This window comes from Homo sapiens, chromosome 19, assembly GCF_000001405.40.
Source record: "Homo sapiens chromosome 19, GRCh38.p14 Primary Assembly".
Lineage (NCBI taxonomy): Eukaryota > Metazoa > Chordata > Mammalia > Primates > Hominidae > Homo > Homo sapiens.
Genome location: NC_000019.10, coordinates 5582532 through 5603718, shown reverse-complemented (window position 1 = coordinate 5603718; position 21187 = coordinate 5582532). Strand labels below are relative to the sequence as shown.

At 52.1% G+C, this 21187-nt stretch overlaps 1 protein-coding gene across 2 annotated transcripts in view, besides 6 other annotated features; it reads left to right on the top strand.

Moving 5' to 3' along the window:
• Positions 1–16720, top strand: part of SAFB2 (scaffold attachment factor B2) — a 35778-nt gene extending 19058 nt beyond the window's left edge. Inside the window, exons 12-21 of one of the 2 annotated variants that reach the window (NM_014649.3) lie at positions 3459–3589; positions 4835–4926; positions 8222–8358; positions 9541–9828; positions 10832–10972; positions 11926–11971; positions 13311–13441; positions 15739–15851; positions 15952–16018; positions 16320–16720. In NM_014649.3, the coding sequence (NP_055464.1) occupies positions 3459–3589; positions 4835–4926; positions 8222–8358; positions 9541–9828; positions 10832–10972; positions 11926–11971; positions 13311–13441; positions 15739–15851; positions 15952–16018; positions 16320–16476 (1303 nt within the window). In that variant the 3' untranslated portion in view covers positions 16477–16720. Of the gene's footprint in view, positions 1–3458; positions 3590–4834; positions 4927–8221; positions 8359–9540; positions 9829–10831; positions 10973–11925; positions 11972–13310; positions 13442–15738; positions 15852–15951; positions 16024–16319 lie in introns of both variants that reach the window. The other variant, XM_011528449.4, reaches the window with a different exon arrangement.
• Positions 13941–14563: an enhancer, noted in NCBI's record as "H3K4me1 hESC enhancer chr19:5589167-5589789 (GRCh37/hg19 assembly coordinates)". NCBI's record gives its function as "activates a minimal SCP1, AML or CMV promoter by ChIP-STARR-seq in naive H9 embryonic stem cells {active_cell/tissue: H9 hESC(naive)}" and the evidence as "EXISTENCE:reporter gene assay evidence [ECO:0000049][PMID:30033119]".
• Positions 16660–17652: an enhancer, noted in NCBI's record as "H3K27ac-H3K4me1 hESC enhancer chr19:5586078-5587070 (GRCh37/hg19 assembly coordinates)". NCBI's record gives its function as "activates a minimal SCP1, AML or CMV promoter by ChIP-STARR-seq in naive H9 embryonic stem cells {active_cell/tissue: H9 hESC(naive)}" and the evidence as "EXISTENCE:reporter gene assay evidence [ECO:0000049][PMID:30033119]".
• Positions 16660–17880: a biological region, named in NCBI's record as "Sharpr-MPRA regulatory regions 733 and 12449".
• Positions 17507–17801: an enhancer, noted in NCBI's record as "tiled region #733; K562 Activating DNase unmatched - State 5:Enh". NCBI's record gives its function as "activates a minimal TATA promoter and a strong SV40 promoter by Sharpr-MPRA in K562 cells {active_cell/tissue: K562}" and the evidence as "EXISTENCE:reporter gene assay evidence [ECO:0000049][PMID:27701403]".
• Positions 17547–17841: an enhancer, noted in NCBI's record as "tiled region #12449; K562 Activating DNase matched - State 5:Enh". NCBI's record gives its function as "activates a minimal TATA promoter and a strong SV40 promoter by Sharpr-MPRA in K562 cells {active_cell/tissue: K562}" and the evidence as "EXISTENCE:reporter gene assay evidence [ECO:0000049][PMID:27701403]".
• Positions 17821–17880: an enhancer, noted in NCBI's record as "active region_13803". NCBI's record gives its function as "activates an Ori minimal core promoter by ATAC-STARR-seq in GM12878 lymphoblastoid cells {active_cell/tissue: GM12878}" and the evidence as "EXISTENCE:reporter gene assay evidence [ECO:0000049][PMID:35858748]".

Here is a 21187-nt window from a genome sequence, read left to right as displayed (position 1 = left end):
AGTGCCACCCTGTGAGTTCTCACGGTGGCACCCTGTGAGTTCACGGTGGCACCCTGTGAGTTCACGGTGGCACCTTGGGGTACCTTGGCGTACCTTGGCGTAGTAGTTGGGAACCATGGGTCTGAGGTTCTATTTTTATAAAGGGGTGATTTATATCTTTAATCAAAATGGAGGTAGGGACAGATCTTTCAAGGGAGGTGTGGGTTGTTTATATTTTTAACACAATTGTAGGCTTCTCTTTTGAGAAGGTAGATTTCCGTGTTGTATCTGATCATGGCAGTGTCTCAGAAGGCTGAGTGTCTGCCTTAAGTTTACGTTGTCAACGCAGTTTAGAGGGTAAACATGTCTGTGGACATAGTTGAACTGGGTTTTTGAAGATGTAATTACCAATTTACATCATGGCCAAATTGGAATTATTATTTTTAATTGGAATTATTATTTTTAAAAAACATTTTACTTTTTGAGACGGGTCACCCAGGCTGGAGTGCATTGATGCAGTCATGGCTCATTACAGCCTCGACTTCCCAAGCCCAAGTGAACCTCCCACCTCAGCCTCCCTAGTAGCTGGGGCTACAGGTGTGGGCTACCACTCCCAGGTAATTTTTAAATTTTTGATAGAGACAGGGTCTTGCTCTTTTGCTCAGGTTGGTTTCCACCCTGGCCTCAAGCAATTTTCCCACCTTGGCCCCACAAAAGACTGGGATTATAGGTGTGAGCCACTGCACCTGGCCCCAGATTGAAATCAGTAGGCCCCTGAGTAATGAGTGTCAGATGAGCCTTCATGAACTTGGAGGAGGGGGGTGGGGGGGGCGGTGAGCCCTCTAATTTAATCAGCAACTTCAAAAAGACACATCCCATCAGCATTGCTAAGAAAAAAATGTCTGTATTGGTGGAAGATGGGGAACTGTTGTTGCAGGTTTGCGGTGTTCTTGGTATCTTGCGTGTTTCATTAATTGTTTTTCTGTATTTGTGGGAAAGGCGGTAATAATTAGCTAACAGTATGGTGTGGTCCTGTGGCCAGCACTGGGAATGCAGCAGTTTCCTTGGTCCTTGTAGTAGCCCTGTGAGGCACTTGCTCTATGTAGGAGAGGATACAGGCCTAGAGAGGGGAGCGCGCCCTGCCTGAGTTTGCTGGGAAACGGCAAGGCTGGGATTCAACCTATGAAGTTTGCTCGGAGCCCCATGGCTCTTAACTGGGTGATGGACTTAAGATTTTTTTTTTTTTTTTTTTTTTTTTTTGAGACAGAGTCTCGCTCTGTCACCCAGGCTGGAGTGCAGTGGCGCAATCTTGGCTCACTGCAAGCTCCGCCTCCCGGGTTCACGCCATTCTCCTGCCTCAGCCTCCCGAGTAGCTGGGACTATAGGCGCCTACCACCACGCCCGGCTAATTTTTTTTGTATTTTTTAGTTGAGACGGGGTTTCACTGTGTTAGCCAGGATGGTCTTGATCTCCTGACCTCGTGATCCACCCACCTCAGCCTCCCAAAGTGCTGGGATTACAGGTGTGAGCCATCGCGCCCGGCGAACTTAAGATCTTTAAGACCAAACTGCATGCAGGTTGTTTGCCTAGGAGGTTGAGCATTTAAAAATTTGTTTTGACCTTATTTTTTTCTTCAAATTAACACCTTCATTAGCCTTCCCTTCCATTTGAAGGATTTCTAGATTAGTGGTTGGCCTTGTGAAATAGAGAAGCTTTCCAAAGAGGGGAAGAAGAGGGGCTAGCCTTTGCCATCTTGGATGAGTGGTGGTTTTTATACAGTTGTTATACAGAAAGCACATGTAAATGTCAGGGGTAATCCCAACACCTAGGGATGATGCTTTTTGTTGGATATCCTTCCAGTCTTTTTTCCAGCATATATATTTATCTACTGGAAGGAAAGCAGATGAATAAACACAGAATTTTGTGCAGCAGGTGAAAGGAGTCAGACCCTTTTTATTCCCCCTAAGTTCTGTCTCAGGATCTAAAGGTCCTTCTTATTTATTTATTTATTTATTTATTTATTTATTTTGAGATGGAGTCTCTCTCTGTTGCCAGGCTGGAGTGCAGTGGCGCCATCTCGGCTGACTGCAACCTCCACCTCCTGGGTTCAAGCAATTCTCCTGCCTTAGCCTCCCGAGTGGCTGGGATTACAGGCATGCGCCACCACGCCTGGCTAAATTTTTTTGTATTTTTAGTAGAGACGGAGTTTCACAATGTTGGCCAGGGTGGTCTCGAACTCCTGACCTTGTGATCCGCCTACCTTGGTCTCCCAAAGTGCTGGGATTACAGGCATGAGCCACCGCGACCAGCCTAAAAACCCTTCTTTAAAGCATACCATGAGGTGACAAAAGTAAGCAGTGTATGAAGTATGGCCTCGTTCGTGTCACTCCTAAGACATTCTTACAAAATGTCACTGTAGATTACTGCGGTCAGGCAGACCCAGTGATTGACACTAAGGCCACCCTGGTGGTTGTCGCAGGGATGAGGGAGAGGAGATGAGATGATTTACAATAGTCAGTTCTGGGATGTACCATTAATTACTATGGTGTGTATTTAAAATTTTTCTCAAAATGGTATATATATATTTTTTTTAAAGACAACTCCATGATGTGGAGGTTGAGAAGGGCAGAGGAGACGGGGCAATCAGAGAGGCTTCCCTGGCATGGCTGGAGCTCTGCCGGGAACCCTGCCTGGGTCGGTTGGAGGAGAGGCCAACAGGTGCTTGCTGGAGGGCCTTGCAGGGGCCTGACTTTCCTGCCTGGACCCTGGCATGTCGTTGGTGTTGAGTCGGTGTGCAGTTTAATTGCCTGAGACAAATGGCATTAGGGAACGCAGCAGCTGAGTTTGAGTGGCGAAGATGATTTATTTCACTGCTTAGAAGAAAGTTGCCTTTGGTTGAAATGGCACTTAACACCTTCCCGTATTCACTGGCACATAACACATTATTTTAACTCCCTAAAAGTATGCAGCAGTTACCGGTCGAGGGGTGTTGGCCTCACGGGTAAATGGCCTGCCGCTCTGTGCAGTGGGGGCTTGGTGTCCTGCCACTGTGCCTCCATCCCGTTGAGGCTGTATTGGGAAGAAATGCTTTTCCCTATAAAGCTTATAAACAATGTTCCACACATACATGATGAAACATTAAACTTTTTAGAAGTGTTCTTATGTAGTTGGCGTGTTTCTCATGTCCACCTGCACACCACTCTTGCGTGCTAGCCTGTCTGACATTTTGGAAACGCATCCCCAGGAATTTCATTGTGCATATCCCTCAATTCAGCACATACTAGAAGTGGGAATACAGCCTGTATCTAAAGAGGAGTATTGTTATTACTATGGGTTCCAAATAATTTTTCCCACCTAATTGCTGCCGGGGTGATTTGTTTTGTGTGGACGTCTGAGTATGTGTGAGTCGAGGCTCTGGGTGAGCCGTTCCTGTTACAGAGTCTTGTGAACTCAAATTTGATAACCATGTCTTTAAATAGAACTGTAATTAAGAAGGAAGAGAAGATTGAGAAGAAGGAGGAAAAAAAGCCTGAAGACATTAAGAAGGAAGAAAAAGACCAGGATGAGCTGAAACCCGGACCTACAAATCGGTCTAGAGTCACCAAATCAGGTGAGGAGAGCCTTTTAAGAGCTGTGGAAGGGGAAGGCCTGGCACGGGTGGGGAGTGGGGGTTCCGAGGGAAGGTGAGGACAGCAAGCTCTGGTGACATGGCTGTTTCGCTGTTCATATGGCAGTGTTAAAGAAACAAGAGTCTGTTGATGAAATGGCTTAAAGGAGTGTCCATACAACATCGGGAATCCAGAAGTGCCTGGGACTCAGGGCTTATGTGTATTGCTGAACTCAGCTGCCTGAGTTTGGGCTTTTTCAGGGCCTTTGGCTGATTGTAGTGTGGGATTTGCAAGAGTGAGTTGTCCGAGTTTCTTGTAACTAACCTGATGCTATTTTGCAGGTGTGCAGTAAAGTTTTCCCACATTATGTTAAAGCTGGAGGTAGTAAAAACACAGAGAAAAATGAAACCTCCAAGCATCTGTTGAAGTGGTTCTGTTTGGACGATGCCACTTCTGTTGTCATTTTATAAAGGTTCATTGTGCTTTACACCTTTGAATCTGTATGAGACTCAGAATGTTTAGTGGCAAAAAAAAATAAGCCAACTCCACCTCCCCCATCAAGGAAGAGAAAAACAGAGACAAAACCCAACCATCTGGAGCATTGAAATTTGGTACAGCACATTACAAGCTGGATCTTCAGCTCTCGGGCTAATTTACCCTGAGTCTCACGAGGAACGTGTTTTTAAAATGTTCCTCAAGTATTATAAATCTCCCCAAATAAGTCATTGTTCCAGTGGTTTATGCCTGGTGGTTCTGTCGTCAGGAGAGATAATTGGTTTGGAAGCCTTTATTGCTGGAGATGAATGGAGGGAAGCCCACCCGTCTGGCAAGGCACTCCCTCAGAGTGGCAGTGTGATTCCTAGCACAGGCTGGATACTGCGGAGCTTCACAGAATGTCAGGGAGGAGTGACAGCATAGACCAGCTCCGGAGCTGTGTGGGTTTAGAGTGGAGGGTCACGGAGGGCTCTGCAGGATGGCCGTGCTTGTGTGCGTGCTGCAGGTTTAAGCTGTAGGTTGGGAACAGGTCCCTCTAGTTGTGTAAAGAGCTGTGAGGGTACCCCCATGATGCTGTGCCCGTGTTACCGTGTTGCTCACAATAGATGAGAATTAGAGGCTCCCAAGGCTAGTGTCAGTCACTTGACTCACGCCTTGTGTGTTCAAAAGCCCAGGGTCCATCAGAGTGCTGTTTACTGCGGGAAGTTGGGGCGTCCACAGGTTTTGATAGTTTGTTGTGTTTTTTCCTGAAGGAAGCAGAGGAATGGAGCGGACGGTCGTGATGGATAAATCGAAAGGAGAGCCCGTCATTAGCGTGAAAACCACAAGCAGGTCCAAAGAGAGAGTGAGTATTGCCTCTGCCATCTCAGGGCCAGCTGTTTCTCACGATGGCTCCACGGCCCGTTTGATCCGCATTATGAAAACAGCACTGTTTTGCCTTTAAAATTGAAGTTTGTAGGAGGCGCGATAATTGTGTAGATTGCGGATACAGACACACACATGAATCCTGGTGCTTTCTGCAGAGCAGTGCCCATCCGTGTTTGCTTCCCTTACTGGCTCCTGACCGGGATGTGCCGCCTTCAGACAGAGCATTGGTTCACACGGCAGCTCACCATAGGGTGGGATGGGCCAGACCCAGGCTTTTCGAGCCGGAAGGCAGGTCCTACTCTTTGGTTGACTTAATAGCAGGCTACTTTCTTCCATTGGTTTTTTAGTCTCCTATTAAATTAACCAAAAAGGTAGAGACCAACCTAGGACAGAGAGCTGGTCATGTTATCAGATCAAGAGCTGTACCTCTCGAGTTGTGCACACAACTAGACGAAATAGCGTCTCATTTGCGTTTTTCACTCTGGGAAACAATAAAAACCTCTGCTTCCCAGCTGCAGGTTCTAGCTAAGATATTCATGAGGTGACAGTACTTTTTTAACGAATGTGGAGTTCACCATATTCAGCCAGGACCACTTTGTGTTGTTAAGACTTAACTTTTTTTTTTTTTTTTTTTTGAGATGGAGTCTTGCTGTGTCACTCAGGCTGGAGTGCAGTGGCGTGATCTCTGCTCACTGCAACCACTGCCTCCTGGGTTCAAGCGACTCCTGCCTCAGCCTCTCGAGTAGCTGGGATTACAGGCAACAGGCACACATCACCACACCAGGCTAATTTTTTTACTTTTAGTAGAGACGGGATTTTGCCACGTTGGCCAGGCTGGTCTCGAACTCCTGACCTCAAGTGATCCACCCGCCTCAGCCTCCCAAAGTGCTGGGATTACAGGCTTGAGCCACCGTGCCCAACCAAGACTTAGTTTTTAAAATGAACATTTGGATTTTATAAAGTATCAGTTCCTAATGTCATTTTTCACATGAAAATCATAAGATACAGAGAAATGTAGAGTAGAACATTGAAAAAGACCCATACTCTTACCCCCATGTAACTGTGATGTTGAAAACAAGTAGTGATGACACATGCATGATTAGAACATCTGGTCAGCTTGAGGAGATGCAGCACGGGCATACTAAAGCCTCCGTGTGTCCAGTTGGGCTCCTCGGCTTCCTCTGCACACACGTCCCCTGTGCCTGCCATGGGACCACAGACAGAGGATGTGCTGGAGCTTGCACTTTCTGTGTAATATGCCTTGGAGGTCTCTACATACAGACACATACGGTTTGGCTTTTTTCCTTTTTGCTTTTTTTTCTTTTCGCTTTTACATATATTTTTTATTTTATGCATGATATTTACCTATTAAAAAAAATAAAGGGTGGGAGTGTCTCACTTTGTTGCTTAGCCTGGCTTCAAGTGATTCTCTCGCCTTGATCTTCCAAACTTGCTGGATTAGAGGTGTGCGCCACCACTCCCAGCCTCTTTTAACGTTTAAATTTTGAAATAAAGTGCTGTTCAGAAAGGTTGTGGAGGGGACTTAAATCTCCTGGGTGTGTTGCACCTGCCAGGTCGCTAGTAAGTGGCTAAGCTGGCCTGAGAACCCAGGAGTCCCGTGCTGACACTGTTGCCTGCTGTGCTGCCCACTGTGCGGTGGTATGTGGGCATCTGTCACCTTATTCTACTGCAGTGTGTGTAAGACATCTGCCCGTCTCGTAGGCAAAGCTTGCCATCAAAGTGCTGGGTGATGTGTGTCTCTCCTGTGTCTGTGTGCCCCTTTCTCCCCAGCCTGCATTTTATTAATAATTGGTGTAATGTCTCATCTTGACCTTTGCCTGTCTTTCTGTTGGGTTGGTTTGTTTTTCATTGCTCGCTCTTTCTCTCCTATGGGGGCTAATTAGGGAAATAAACTGAGTAGCTTTTTAAAAATGTCATTTCCCAGGCCCCTGCCCCAGAGATTCTGTGTGGATCAGCAGGAGGCCTCAGGTTCTGTGTTGTTTAAAAGCTTCCTGGGAGGGTCTGATGTGTAGCCAGTTTGGGTGAGGGGCCCTGGAGAACCTTGGAAATGGGAGTCAGTTGTTACAGCTCTGAGCTTTATGCCACAGATAGAAAATGATGAATGTAGGCTGGGTGCGGTGGCTCACACCTGTAATCCCGGCACTTTGGGAGGATGAAGCAGCAGATCACTTGAGCTCAGGAGTTTGAGACCAGCCTGGACAATAGGGCGAAACCCTGTCTCTACAAAAATAGAAAAATTAGTCAGGCATGGTGGTGTGCACCTGTGGTCTCAGCTACTGAGGAGGCTGAGGTGGGAGGATCACTTGATCCTGCAGTGAGCTGTGACTGAGCCACTGTACTCCAGGCTGGACAACAGAACAAGACTGGGTCTCAAACCCAAAAAACCTACAAAAAATAAATTACGGAAGTTGGCTATTAGTGTTCTGTACCTTATTAGGAGCACTGTTTTGCATTAAAGCATTTTGGCATATTCTCTTTATTTATTTGAGACGGAGTCCCGCTCTGTCACCCAGGCTGGAGTACAGTGGCGCAATCTCAGCTCACTGCCACCTCTGCTTCCCAGGTTCAAGCGATTCTTCTGCTTCAGCCTCTTAAGTAGCTGGGATTACAGGCATGCGCCACCACGCCTAGCTAATTTTTGTATTTTTAGTTGAGACGGGGTTTCACCATGTTGGTCAGGCTGGTCTCGAACTCCTGATGTTGTGATCCGCCCACCTTGGCCTCCTGAAATGCTGGGATTACAGGTGTGAGCCACTGCGCCCGGCCTGGCATATTCTATTTAGAGCTGTCTGCCTGAGTCCTGAGCCAGCAGTTGAGATGTGAAACATGTAGTCTGCCCTCCAGCTGTCCAAACAGCTGGCCTGACTGCTGTCCCCTCTGAACTAATGGCCACAGTGGCCCTGTGCGGATGTGCCCGTGGCTCTGAGAGGCCTAGGTTTGCTTTGGATTATGTGAGTCCTTGGCTGTGCTATGCTAGAAGAACTGTGCCTGTAGGTTTTCTGAGGCGTGGGCCAACCTCTTCTCTTCCATGAATGCCCCTTGACATCTGAAAGCAGGATTCTGGATTAGGCAGTAAAATGCAAACTTGGAGGGAAGCAGCCTATGCCTGGGCCTCTGGTCTGGAGACCACAGCCTTCCATCTACACCATGTGGGGCCAGAGAATCTTAGTCTCATGCACACGTGCATAATCTCCATTGTTTGTTTGTTGCAATCATTTTCCTGACATTAATAAACCAGTTTTGGTAAACAGAGCTCCAAGAGTCAGGATCGCAAGTCAGAAAGCAAAGAAAAGAGAGACATCTTGTCGTTTGATAAAATCAAAGAACAAAGGGAGAGAGAGCGCCAGAGGCAGCGGGAACGGGAGATCCGCGAAACGGAGAGGCGGCGGTGAGTGGAGCTGGGTGAGGCTGTGGGCTGGTGGTTTCCTCTCGGGGTGGCTGTCCTTCTCCCAGCTGTACTTGGAGTGCGCAGTCTGTGTGCCCGAGAGCCAGTGCCTGGGCTGGCGGGTGTCGTGCTTAACCTGGGTCCTCGAGGCAGGGGCCAGCACCTGTTCACACGTGAGCCGCCAGACATGCCAGGTGGCATGAAAGTCATCAAAGGGCCAGGTGCAGTGGCTCACACCTGTAATCCGAGCACTTTGGGATGCCAGGGCCAGAGGATCCCCTGAAGCCAGGAGTTCAAGACCATCCTAGGCAATGTAGCGAGACCCCACCTCTACAAAATATTTAAAAATTAGCTGGGCATGGTGGCGTGCACTTGTAGTCCCAGCTACTCAGGAGGTTGAGGTGGGAGGATTGCTGGAGCCCAGAAGCTCAAGGCTGCAGTGAGCTGTGATCACAACAGTGCACTGCAGACTGGGTGACAGAGTGAGACCCTGTCTCTTAAAAAGAAGTCATCAAAGCCCTTTACAGTATATGGGGTTTGGCTATGTTGCCAGGCTGATAACTGCTGGGCCCAAGCGATCCTCCTGCGTCAGCCTCCCTAAGTGCTGGATTACAGGCTGAGCCTTCTGCTGGCTCAAAGTCTATTTTCGCCCCTCCTCTGATGTTGGACCTTGGCCCGTGTGGAAGGCCCAGCCGTGTGTGGCTTTGATGGGATGGGATGGTGCCTGGGTGCTGAGGCCTGTCTTCCCTGTTGAAACCTTTCACCTAAGGTCAGAAACTGCAAGCAGAGTCCAGTTGTCATTTTGCCGCGGCTCCCTTCTGGGCTGTGGTCTTGAAGGAGGCTTGTCCCTCTGCCTTGACATTCGGCCTTTTCATGTCGGGATGCCCGGCGTTCTCTTGTCACTTTTCCTCAAATATTGCTCAGTAAAGCAAAAGCTGTGCTCACAGCATTTGGAAAATGTTCTCGAGCAAACCTAGAAATGTTGCCAGCTGTGCTGCCTTTGCTTTTCTTAAGGTAGCTTTGTTAAGTAAGGTAACCCCCTGCACGCGCAGCTTTAGGGAAGCCCGGTGAGCTTTTGGATCCATTTTTTTTTTCTGCTTCCAATACACACCCAGTTTTGGGCACCGGGCTTTCTCCTTGGAGGCTCACGCAGGGAGTTCAGGGCAGCCTCACCTGTCCCCGCAGGGAGCGCGAGCAGCGGGAGCGGGAGCAACGCCTCGAGGCCTTCCATGAGCGGAAGGAGAAGGCCCGGCTACAGCGGGAACGCCTGCAGCTCGAGTGCCAGCGCCAGCGGCTGGAGCGGGAGCGCATGGAGCGGGAGCGGCTGGAGCGCGAGCGCATGCGCGTGGAGCGTGAGCGCAGGAAGGAGCAGGAGCGCATCCACCGCGAGCGCGAGGAGCTGCGGCGCCAGCAGGAGCAGCTGCGTTACGAGCAGGAGCGGCGGCCCGGGCGGAGGCCCTACGACCTGGACCGGTGAGTCCCGCCCAGAGCGTGGGCAGGACGGAGACCAGCGTGGCAGCGGTGTTCACCCTTCCAGCAGAACAGCGGCTTCCCTTCCGTCCCTGTCGGTGGGGAGAATGAAATTTGATATGGAGCATGCGCCTTGGGGACCCCCCGCCGATCTCACTGCGCTGCTGCAGGTTTATTAGTTCGCTGTCCTCACCGGAGGCTGTGTAGCATCTTCCTGAACTTGAGTTATTCTGGGAAACTTGATGGCTGCCACTTGCTGAAGGGTTTGTGATGCTTTTCCTCTCCACTTACCCGTGGAGCATAGCTGTTCTCTGTCTTGCGAGACAACCGAACGCCCGTTAGGCCCAAGTTGGCCACCGCTGACTCTGCCGGTCTCATGTGTCCTTGTAGACAGAGAGGCAGAGCAGGCGCTGTGGAAAAGGAAATTGCCTCTGATTTAGAAAGTAGGTTTATTGGTCTCTAGCTACCCCAGGCGGCTTAATTGACAGTCACCCTTCACCCCGCTCTCCGTGAGCCTAGTTTTCTGGTAAAAATCAGGAAGAAGATAATTGGATGCCGTCCAGAGCTGTGTGTAGTTCACTATCACCCCATCTAATTCTCTTTGCTTTTGCAAGAAACTCAGAGGGAGATTCAGGCTCCCGTGGAAGGCAGGGAAAGTAAAAGTGTGGCAACTCGAATGCTATTCCAGAAGAATCAAATATTTCTTTTCAGTTGCTCATGAGGGGGGATCAAGGTAATAACAGCCTCACGAGACAATGAGCTCACAGCAGTGCTCCTTTTGGGACTGTTGGATGAGAACACAAGTGTGCCTCTCGGCTGTTAATGGCGGTTTTAATTTATCAGATCAAAGCAATGATGATCGAATGTTTAGAGATTAGCCCTGCAGGACATTTTAAACGATACTGGGTCTGGGGAGAGAGCTCCCCTCCCCACCTCCACCTCCTCCTTTTTTCCTCCTCCTCTCTCATTAATGGAATTTGTATTCTTTTAAAATAAAAACCAACAGACGAGATGATGCCTATTGGCCAGAAGGAAAGCGTGTGGCAATGGAGGACCGATATCGTGCAGACTTTCCCCGGCCAGACCACCGCTTTCACGACTTCGATCATCGAGACCGGGGCCAGTACCAGGACCACGCCATCGACAGGTCAGTGGTCTTGTCCCCTCCTTTAGCTACAGTCATTGTGGGCACCGGGGCATCCAGCTGACCTCGTTCTCAGCCCAGTGCAGGGGTTCCTGTGTGCTCTGAAGCCTCGTTTACTTCTGAGATCCACAGTGGATGACTCTGGCCTTGCACAGAACTTGAGCGAGTTGCTGGAATCCCCAGCTTACCTCAGAGGAAGGCATCTCAGAGCTCATTCCATCCACCGACTCTTTTCATAGGTGGGCCAGGAGGGGCCTGAGTGCAGGCCATCTACACTGAGCTCTCTTGTGAGGCAGCAGTGTTTGTCAGCACAACCTGGTTGTGCCCAAGAGCTACCAGAGAATTGATGGAGGACGTGCAAAATTTCTCATGAGGCCTGTTTTGTATTTCGAGGGTCTGGGTGGGTTTTTTAGCCTTTTAAAATGAGGAATACATCTAGTTTATTAAAAAGGCAGCCCTTGGTTTTCCAGTGTAAGAATCCTGTCTTTGGGCTCCCCTCGGCTGCACATCTCTGACCCATTTCCCCATTCATTGGCTCCTTCAGTCGGAATGTCAGAGCGGGGAGAACAGGAAAGGGAGGCTGAGAGGCCACACTCTTAATTCTGCTGGAGTTTGGGGTGGAGTTGGTGTGAATTTTGATGAGTCCCACGCATTGGGTCAGACCAAAGATGAGGGATCATTGGAGGCCTCTGTTTGTCCCTGTTCCCCTAACTGAGAGCTCCCCGAGGAATTTTAGTTCAGTGAGATCTTTATTCCTACCTCTTTAGGATCCAACTTCGTTTCTGCCCCCGGGGAAAAGCCTTTCGATTTGAGCTAGCTTTTTCCTTTTTTCCCAGGCCAGTTATAGTTTTTATGTGATGGGATGGAAAAAGTATCCCAGTCGCGAAACTTGCCTGACCTGCAGAAATGTGTAGTCGTGCCTGGTGCTGTTTGAACGGGATCTTTTCCTTTTGCAGGCGGGAGGGTTCGAGGCCAATGATGGGAGACCACCGGGATGGGCAGGTGAGTAGAGCCCCGATGCCAAGCCCTGGGGCCACTGTACTGCTGTGCAGGCATAGCGGACCATTTCTAGCCAGGCGGCCGCTTGATCCCAGAGAGGTGGCAACCAAGTCAGCACGTGTGGCGGGTATGCAAGTGTGGGTTCTGGCCAGCGACTAGAAGTACAAATATTTAGTCGGACGTGGTGGCTCATGCCTGTAATCCCAGCACTTTGGGAAGCTGAGGTGGGTGGATCACAAGGTCAGGAGTTCAAGACCAGCCTGGCCGACATGGTGAAACCCTGTCTCTACTAAAAATACAAAAAATTAGCCAGGCATGGTGGCGAGTGCCTGTAGTCCCAGCTACTCGGGAGGCTGAGGCAGGAGAATCGCTTGAACCCGGGAGGCGGAGGTTGCAGTGAGTCGAGGTCGCACCATTGCACTCCAGCCTGGGCAACAAGAGCAAGACTCCGTCTCAAAAAAAAAAAAAAAAAAAAAAAGCGCAAATATTTGATTGTTTTGTAATGCTCAAGTTTCTGTCATTTTCAAATATGTTGGGCTTGTTCTTCATTGTATCCGGTAGAAACCTCATGTGTCTCTTCATTGTCCACTTGCTCAGGGAGCCTTTGGGTCTTAGTGCCTGTGGGGTCCCCCAAGAACCCAAATGGTGGTTGTCGTTTAGCCCACATGTGCCAGGGTCGGGGGGATGGGGGAGCCCGGGCTTCCCCATGTTTCAAGTCCGTGCTTGGTGGGCACGGGGGGCTGAAGACCACAAGAATGGTCCCTGAGTCTCTGTGGTGCCATGCGGGTGCCCCGTGCGTGGTGGCAGGGTGTGAGTTCTGAGAAAGCAGCAGCCTGGTGGAGAGGTGGGAGGTGGGCGGCAGAGTAATGGCCTGTAACAGCAGGCAGCACCCGCCTGCTTCCTGGCTGCTGGCTGCTCCGTGCAGAGTTGGTTGGCCAGGGAGGCCGGAATTGTGGCCCTGCCAGAGCACAGGGGGGCTGACCCACCCGAGGGCCCTCCTGTTATCGGAAAGGAGGCGGCGCCCAACTTCTCAGGGAAGACAGGGTTTGGTGACGTCTTAGTGGATCTTGAGCAGAGCTGTTGAGGGCAGTAATGCCAGGGTGCCCTGGCTCCTGGGGCAGCTCAGGTGGGGCAGTGATGCAGCTGTAGGGGTGCGAGGAGGGGAGCCAGGGAGCAGAGGGTCAGTGAAGCAGGGCCCAGCAGGGCTGAGACTGCACCCTTCAGTCCTCTCTCAGCTCCGCCCCACCTGCCACCCTGGGGCCTGCAGTGGACAGGCCTTCCGGAAGGTGGGCCTATGTGGGTGACATGGTCAGTGTCACCCTGTTCCTCTCCTGCCTTCCAGCACTATGGAGATGACCGCCATGGCCACGGAGGACCCCCAGAGCGCCACGGCCGGGACTCCCGTGATGGCTGGGGGGGCTACGGCTCCGACAAGAGGCTGAGTGAAGGCCGGGGGCTGCCCCCTCCCCCCAGGTTAGTGGGTGAGCCCCAGCCGGGTGGGGAGCATCTGTCCTAACCTGGGAAAAGGTTGGTGCCTGGCCAGGCACGTCCCCAAGGTTTGATTCAGCTAGGGGAGCTTTAGGATGGGCTACCAGGGGTCCTGCCATTTGAAACCCCTGACTCAGAAAGTCCAGGTTCTCAAGAAGAAAGCATAGAACAGGCTTTCAGGGATGGAGCTGTCCAGGTCGCCCAGAATGGCCCATCCCCATTCTTGAGCTGGGGGTCGCCTGCAGTTGTGAATGTCTCGATCATGGGCTGCGTACACACTGGGAGAGACAGCGCTGAAGCTCTTAGTCCTGCCCCGTCCGTGGTAGAGCAGCCTCGCCCCTGCCTCCACGTTGCCTCTTGACACGTGTCTTCCTCGGGTTTTTTCTCTGACCCCCAGTTGGTCTGGGGTGGATCTTCTCAACCCTATCCTGCCTATTAGAATCACTTAGGAGGACCCTCCACCCAGGACTCAGGGCTGAGGACACTGGGCCAGGTCCTCCACAGGTGTCCAAAGCCACCTTCACCAGCACTGCAGTGGGGGTGCTGTTCTGAGCCTTGTCAGCATTGGTGGGGGGCAGGGCTTGTCTGGGAGGACTCTGGGTGCCTCTCTAGTTTCTTTGGCCAGCTGCAGTCACCCCTGCCTGTTTGTCCTGTTGCCGTCTGGGCTGGCCGTGAGGAGGCTGGTGGCAGGACTGCTTTGCGGCTGCTGCCCTGCTTTCCTCTGTGAGCCGAGTGTCCTGTCTTGTCTCCAGCCCTGGCCCAGGGCTGCCTCGGACCCTGCCCAGCGCCACAGGGTGGGTTTTGGCCCCCTGTGCTCCCCCGTTCCATCCCTCCCTCCGCGCTGAGAGGCACTTCCAGCTCTGCCAGGGACTTTGACTCGGTGCTGTGCCGAGTGTCCCAGGACACCCGAAGCTTCTCCTGAATCTCTGGGCAGCACAGACGGTGGCAGTGCTCTGATCAGTTGGTGTGAAGTGTTCTCTCCTGTGAGACTTCATTAGCATTCCTGTCCTGTCGCTTGCTGGGTGTTATGGTAAATACCTCGGGAGTGTAAACGGGAAACTCACCCATGGTGAGCAGCGGCTGGGCGCCATCGGGTCACCGAGGGCAGGTTCCACACGGGAGCTTTCCGCTCCCTCCAGGGCGGTATTGCACTTGCCTGGCAGTGCGCGCTGGGGGCTCTGGTGGCCCCTCTCGGGCCTGTGGGCTGGCTCACTTGGCCTGACTGTCACTGCATCCGGCAACCCACAGCAGGCAGGCACTCGTGCAGATGGGTCTGGCTGCTTTCCTGCACGGCCACTGTGACTGCTTGGCCACTTGGGACTCAGGACACTGGACTCGGATTTTCATCTCCCAGAGTTTGTCTGAAACTTTAAACAAATAGCTTTCTTTAAGTATAGTTCACACGACACACACTTCCCGTTTCACGTGTGCAGTCAGTGGAGGTTTGCGTGTACGTGGATCTGTTTAGCCATCCCCACGGCTGATTCTGAAGCATTTTCATCACGTCAAAAGAAACCCTGCCCCTTTTAGCAGCTGCACCCTCCCCCCTGCCCTTGGTAGCCACAGGTCCCTTTCTGGCTCTGGATTTGCCGTCTTGAGTCATTTCTTGGCCTGCGCGGTGTGCCTGCTGGGCCTGGCTTCTCCCTAAGCCTTGGGTATTCAGGGCTCATCTCCACATGCTGCCTGGGCCAGCGCTTCCTTCCTAGTTAGGGCTGAACATTCCATGGTCCAGACACACTACATAGTGTTATCTGCTCATCAGTTCATGGGTGTTGGGGTCCTTCTCCCTTTGGCTGTTAGGAATCCTGCCGCTAGGAACATTCATGCACAGATGTCTTTGGCCATGTTTTCATTTCTGGCAGGTAGGAATGGGTTTGCTGGGTCATGGTAATTCTGCGCTTAACTTTTTGAAGAACCACCAAACTTTTCCACAGTGGCCACACCATTTTACATTTCCACCAGCAGTGGACAAGGGTTCTTCCCTTTCCTCGCACCCTCCACGGTGTGTGTTATTGTGTGATTCTAGCATCCCAGCCAGGGGGAGGTAGCATCTCGGTGTGGCTCGGATTGGCATTTCTGGGTGGCGTTGAGCACCTTCTCACGTGCTTACTAGCACATCTGTCTTTGGGGAAATGTCCCTTCCCTTGATTTGCCCACTTGACATGCAGCCCTTGTTGTGTGGCATGACCCACCATGCAGCTGAGGTCAGGGTGGGTGCGCCTGCTGCCGACACAACCCTGGAGGCTCATTAGATGGCTGCATGTCTTTTTCTTTTGGCAAAGGGGTGGCCGTGACTGGGGAGAGCACAACCAGCGGCTAGAGGAGCACCAGGCACGCGCCTGGCAGGGTGCCATGGACGCAGGCGCGGCTAGCCGGGAGCACGCCAGGTGGCAAGGTACGGGGCTGGCTCCAGGGACGAGGGTGGCTGTGGCCCCCACATGTGTCCAGGGGCTTCCCCAGGAACGGAGTGTTTGCAGACCCTTCTTCTCTTCTAGGTGGCGAGAGGGGCCTGTCTGGGCCCTCGGGGCCGGGGCACATGGCAAGCCGCGGTGGAGTGGCGGGGTAAGGTGTGTCGTCCGTGGAGGACGGTGGTTCACTCCTGCTCCTCACTTCCTCTCCCTTTTTTGCATGTTTGATCAGCTGGCTGGGTTGGATGTTATGAAAACAAAGCAAAAAGCAGCTCTTTGCAATTTATGCAAATAACGCTCTTGAGTTACCTGGAATACAATGTGCGATGATGATTTTTCTCACCTGGAAAAAAAACCCAAGCGCTCTAAAGGCTGCGGGACCGTTACTGAACCCATGTTACGATGAAAACGCTGAGCACTTCAAGGGGAAAAAAATTGTCTGACTTTGTTCCTAGGCGAGGCGGCTTTGCACAAGGTGGACATTCCCAGGGCCACGTGGTGCCAGGTGGCGGACTGGAAGGTGGCGGAGTGGCCAGCCAGGACCGGGGCAGCAGAGTCCCTCACCCACACCCTCATCCCCCCCCGTACCCCCACTTCACCCGCCGCTACTAAGTCCCACTCGCTGCGAGTTTTCGGGTGGGCAGACGCACTGTTGAATCTGGTAGCCAGGGTTCCCTCGAACTTGGGGGATCTTTTTAAAAGCAAAGTAAATCCTGCCACCATGTTGTAGCTCAATACAATGTGAACTCACTTTTTTTTTTTTTTTAAATAAATGTGTTCTTGTTCTGCCATTTTTAAATCAAGGTTTCTGTTAACGAGGCATTCCATTTTCCATTAATAAAGTTTACCATTCGCAGTCTTGCGTGCGCGTGCACATGCGTGAGTCCTGGTGGCCGTAGAGCTCGGGATGGGACCAACCCTGGGCGCAGTGGTGTGACCACATGGTGACTGTTGGCTCTGCCAGGTGCTGCCAAAGTCTTTTGCCTGCATCATCCTGCTGAGTTGTCATAACCACCTCAGGAAGTGGGCTGTCCGGGTTCCCATCATGGGATGAAACTGAGGCTGGGGAGTCAGCCCATGGGAACTAGGAATTCTTCAGGGGGTGCTGTGCACCATAGGGCCCTCAGACCAATCCCTTTACCCCGAGCCTGTCTCTGCGTGGGTAGTGGTGAGGGCGTGCCAGGCCCTGGGGAGCCCTCCCCCTGCCACCTCAGTCTGGGGCTGTGTCCCATGCTGGTGTGTGGTGGGCTCTGTCAGGGAGGGTCCGTGTGTGGTGGGCCCGCCCCTCCCCTGGCTGCCAAGTGTGTCCTGCTCAGTGTCTGCTGCCAGCAGCTGGTTAGGAGTGGGATGGCGCTGACTCGGTGATGGGCCCACGTGGTAGAACTGGTCCCTCCGTTCTTCTGGAAATGTCCATTTGTCTGCAAAAGTGCATTTGAGTGTGATGCCCATTTTCTTCCTTAAAGACTGTGCCAGATGAGGCACTTCGCTGGCCGGGGTAGCCCGCAGGCTGCCGGCCCATGCGCGCAGCCCTCCGTGCCAGGGCCCTCCAGGGGCCGGCCACTGTGAGGCACAGCTGTTCTGTTCAGAACTGCTGGTGCATGAGCGGAGCTGGTGCTGGCCAGGGGTAGGGGCTGCAGGCATCTTGGGGCAGAGGATGGTGCATGGGGTTGGCCTAGTGCCCTCTCGGCGGGAGGGGCAGCCCAGCCCGGTGTGGTGTGGTGAGAGTTAACTGGCAGGGCCACCTGCTGGGGACCTCTTTTCCTCCCCTCCGTATCTAGGACAGCCACCCGCAGGCCCCTCCTCCAACTGCCGGTTCTGCTGGAGTTCCCCCCGCCCCCGCTGGGAAGTTAAGTTTTTAAAAAGCCATGTTAAAATCCAGCCCAGCTTGCCACAGACACCAGAGCATGAAAGGCAGGTTGGCCCTGGCCCTCGGCGTCCTGTCTGGGCCTGAGCTGCCGTGAACGCATTCCGGAGCCTCCCCCACGGTGGCGGCTTCTGGAGTCATTTTCCAGTGGCAGGTGGACTGGGCGCCACGCCGCCTCTGTGTTGCACATGGGGTCTTCGCGGCTTGCCTGTCTCCCCGACGAGCCAGAGTCTAGAAATTGGGGTTGAGAGCTTCCCTGTTGGGCAATAAAAGGCAGGCTTAGCCTGCGTTGAGGAGGCAGCCTGGGATTGGGAGCAGGCCCTGTTTTCAGACCTCGGTGTCTCAGATGTCACGGAGCACCCCTTCCTGGAGGTGGGTGTGGCCTCCTGAACTATGAAGCAGGGGCTCAACCACTGCCAGGCTGCTCTATGGGAGCTGGAAAGGGAACCAGTCCCACTGGACATCCTATGGGGGCAGAAGAGCCCTGCCCTTTCCAACGAGCCGGGCCTGGAACCAGCTCTGTTCCACGCAGAAACAAAGCACTCGAGTTACCAGGACGGCTGTCACAAAGCACCATAGACTGCCTAAGGAAGCTCATTGGCTCTCAGTTCTTGAGGCCAGGAGTCTGAGATCTGGGTGTGGGCAGGGCTGTGTCCTTCCCAGGCTCCGTCCTGAGCCTCCTGGCTTCTGACAGCTGCCGAGCACCTCTGGGCATTCCTTGGTTTGTAAAAACATTGCCCAGTCTCGGCCTCCATCCTCATCATGTGGCCTTCTTCCTGCAAGCGTGTTTGTGTCCTGGTTCCCCCCCCCCTCCTTTTTTTTTTTTTTTTTTTTTGGAGACAGTCTCACTCTGTCACTGCTGGAGTGCAGTGGCGAGGATCTGGGCTCACTGCAGCCTCCGCTTCCCAGGTTCAAACGATTCTCCTGCCTCAGCCTCCCAAGTAGCTGGGATTACAGGTGCCTGCCACCACGCCCAGCTAATTTTTGTATTTTTAGTAGAGACGGGGTTCCACCATGTTGGCCAGGCTGGTCTCGAACTCCTGACCTCAAGTGATCCGCCCACCTCGGCCTCCCAAAGTGCTGGGATTACAGGCGTGAGCCACCGCGCCTGGCCTGTTTCTTTAATAATTGAGCATAGGTACGTTATATTAACTCAACTTTTATTTCAAGAGAGAAAAGGTGGGTGGAACAAAATACGTGTTATGAAAAGGAGATGCTGATGGACGTGTGGGTGGTTCCCCCCTTTGGGCAGTTGTGTGTGAATCACGCTGCCGTGAGCATTTATGGATATGTATGTGTTTGAACACCTGTTTTCCATTCTCCTGTGTATATACCTGGGACTGGGATTGCTGGGTCCTATGCTGACTTTGTAACTCCCTGTGTTTTATTTCTGGAAGTATAGCCAGACTTTTCCACAGTGGTGGTACCATTATACATTCCTACTAGCACTATATGAAGATTCCAATTCCCCTTTTTTACGAGACAGGGTCTCGCTGTGTCTCCCAGGCTGGAATGCAGTGGCGCGATCATAGCTCACTGCAGCCTCGAACTCCAGAGCTCAAGCCATCCTCCCACCTTGGCCTCCCAAGTTGCTAGGTCTACAGGCATGAGCCACCATGCCTGGCCTTGGTATACCATTTGGTGGTGAATTTTGTTATGTATCATTTCCCATCGTTTTAAAGACATTTTTAAAGGGGAGGGGGAGCTGTGGGGGCATCACGGGAATGAGAGCCACTGGGGCAGAAACAGGGAGCTTCTTGAGAGCAAGTTTAGGAGCCAACTGCCTGGCACCCAGCCTTCTCACTACCTGCCTGCCCACGGGCAGGTCATTACTGTCTGCTTTAGCTGCTTTAACTGGAAGGAGGGAGTAATCATTGTAGTTGCCATATGGGATCTTTACAAAGATTAGTTAATCCACATAAAAAGCTTGGCATACAGTAAATGCTTAATACATGTTGGCAGGCCCTGGGGAGCCCTACAGGAATAGAGCCTCGGGTGCTCATGTTTCACAGGGGCCCTGGCGAAATGCAATGCCAGAGGTCTGGAGGGGGTCCCGGTGAGGAAATGACCAGCTCCAGCCATACAGAAAGAAAACAGCAGAATCAGAATTAAGACCTTATGGCCTGGCGCGGTGGCTCATGCCTCGAATCCCAGCACTTCTGGAGGCTGAGGCGGGTAGGTCACCTGTGGTCAGGAGTTCGAGACCAGCCTGGCCAACATGGGGAAACCCCCATTTCTACTAAAAATACAAATATTAGCCAGGCATGGTGGTGGGTGCCTGTAATCCCAGCTACTCGAGAGGCTGAGGCAGGAGACTTCTTGAACCCTGGGGGGCGGAGGTTGCAGTGAGCCGAGATCGCGCCACTTCACTCTAGTCCCGGGTGAAAGAGCGAAACTCCATCTCAAAAAAAAAAAAAAAAGAAAGAAAAAGTAGAATTAAGACCTTACGAAATGTCTCCACAGCTACAAAATGTGTCAACTTCACCAATTGCTAAATTTTGTATTCATAAAGATTTCATTACATTTCAAAACAGCTCCTAGGTTAGATTTTCTTATTCCCAAGGAACTCCCAAGCCTCCACGATGATTGCCAGTCTCAAATTGCATGCATGACTCCTAGTCACATAATTTCAAAGGCAAAGTTAGAACAGGGCCTTTTGATTCCAAAAAAACCCAACAACCATAAAGTCGACGTTTAACGGGGATGCCGTGCCTTTTAACAGGTTTGCCGGATTGAGGGGCAGGGCTTCCTTGAGTCCCAGTGACCCACGGGAGAGGTGAGGCTGTTCCTACCTGGTCATACGATGGTGACAAATCAGGGTTCGGATTCTGCTCTCACTGCTGGGTGGGTTCAGACCTCAGCCCTTCAGCCATTTCTTTGGTCAGCTGGGTGGACTAGGAGAGCTTTTCTCTTTGTTTTTTGAGATGAAGCCGTGCCGTGTTGCCCAGGCTGGAGTGCAGTGGCACAATCTTGGCTCACTGCAACCTCCGCTTCCCGGGTTCAAGCGATTCTCCTGCTTCAGCCTCCCAAGTAGCTGGGATTACAGGTACCTGCCACCATGCCTGGCTAGTTTTTGTATTTTTAGTAGAGATGGGGTTTCCCCATGTTGGCCAAGCTGGTCTCAAACTCGTGGCCTCGGGTGATTCTCCTGCCTTGGCTTCCCAAAGTGCTGGGATGACAGGCATGAGCCACCACACCCAGCCACGAATTCCTTCACCTTAATCACATCTGCAAGGTCCCTTTGTCTTGGAGACCAATGTGTTCATAGGTCCCAGGGATTAGGACGTGGGCATCCTTGTCCGTCACCCTGGTGTACAACAGAATCCACTTTGGGAAGCACCTGATGTGCTTACCAGTCAAGCAAGTTAGACATCTCTAGTCCCCCTGGCCAGCCACCAATTTATATGAGGACACCTACGGACGCCACACAACATCACCAAACCCAGACATAGCCCAGTG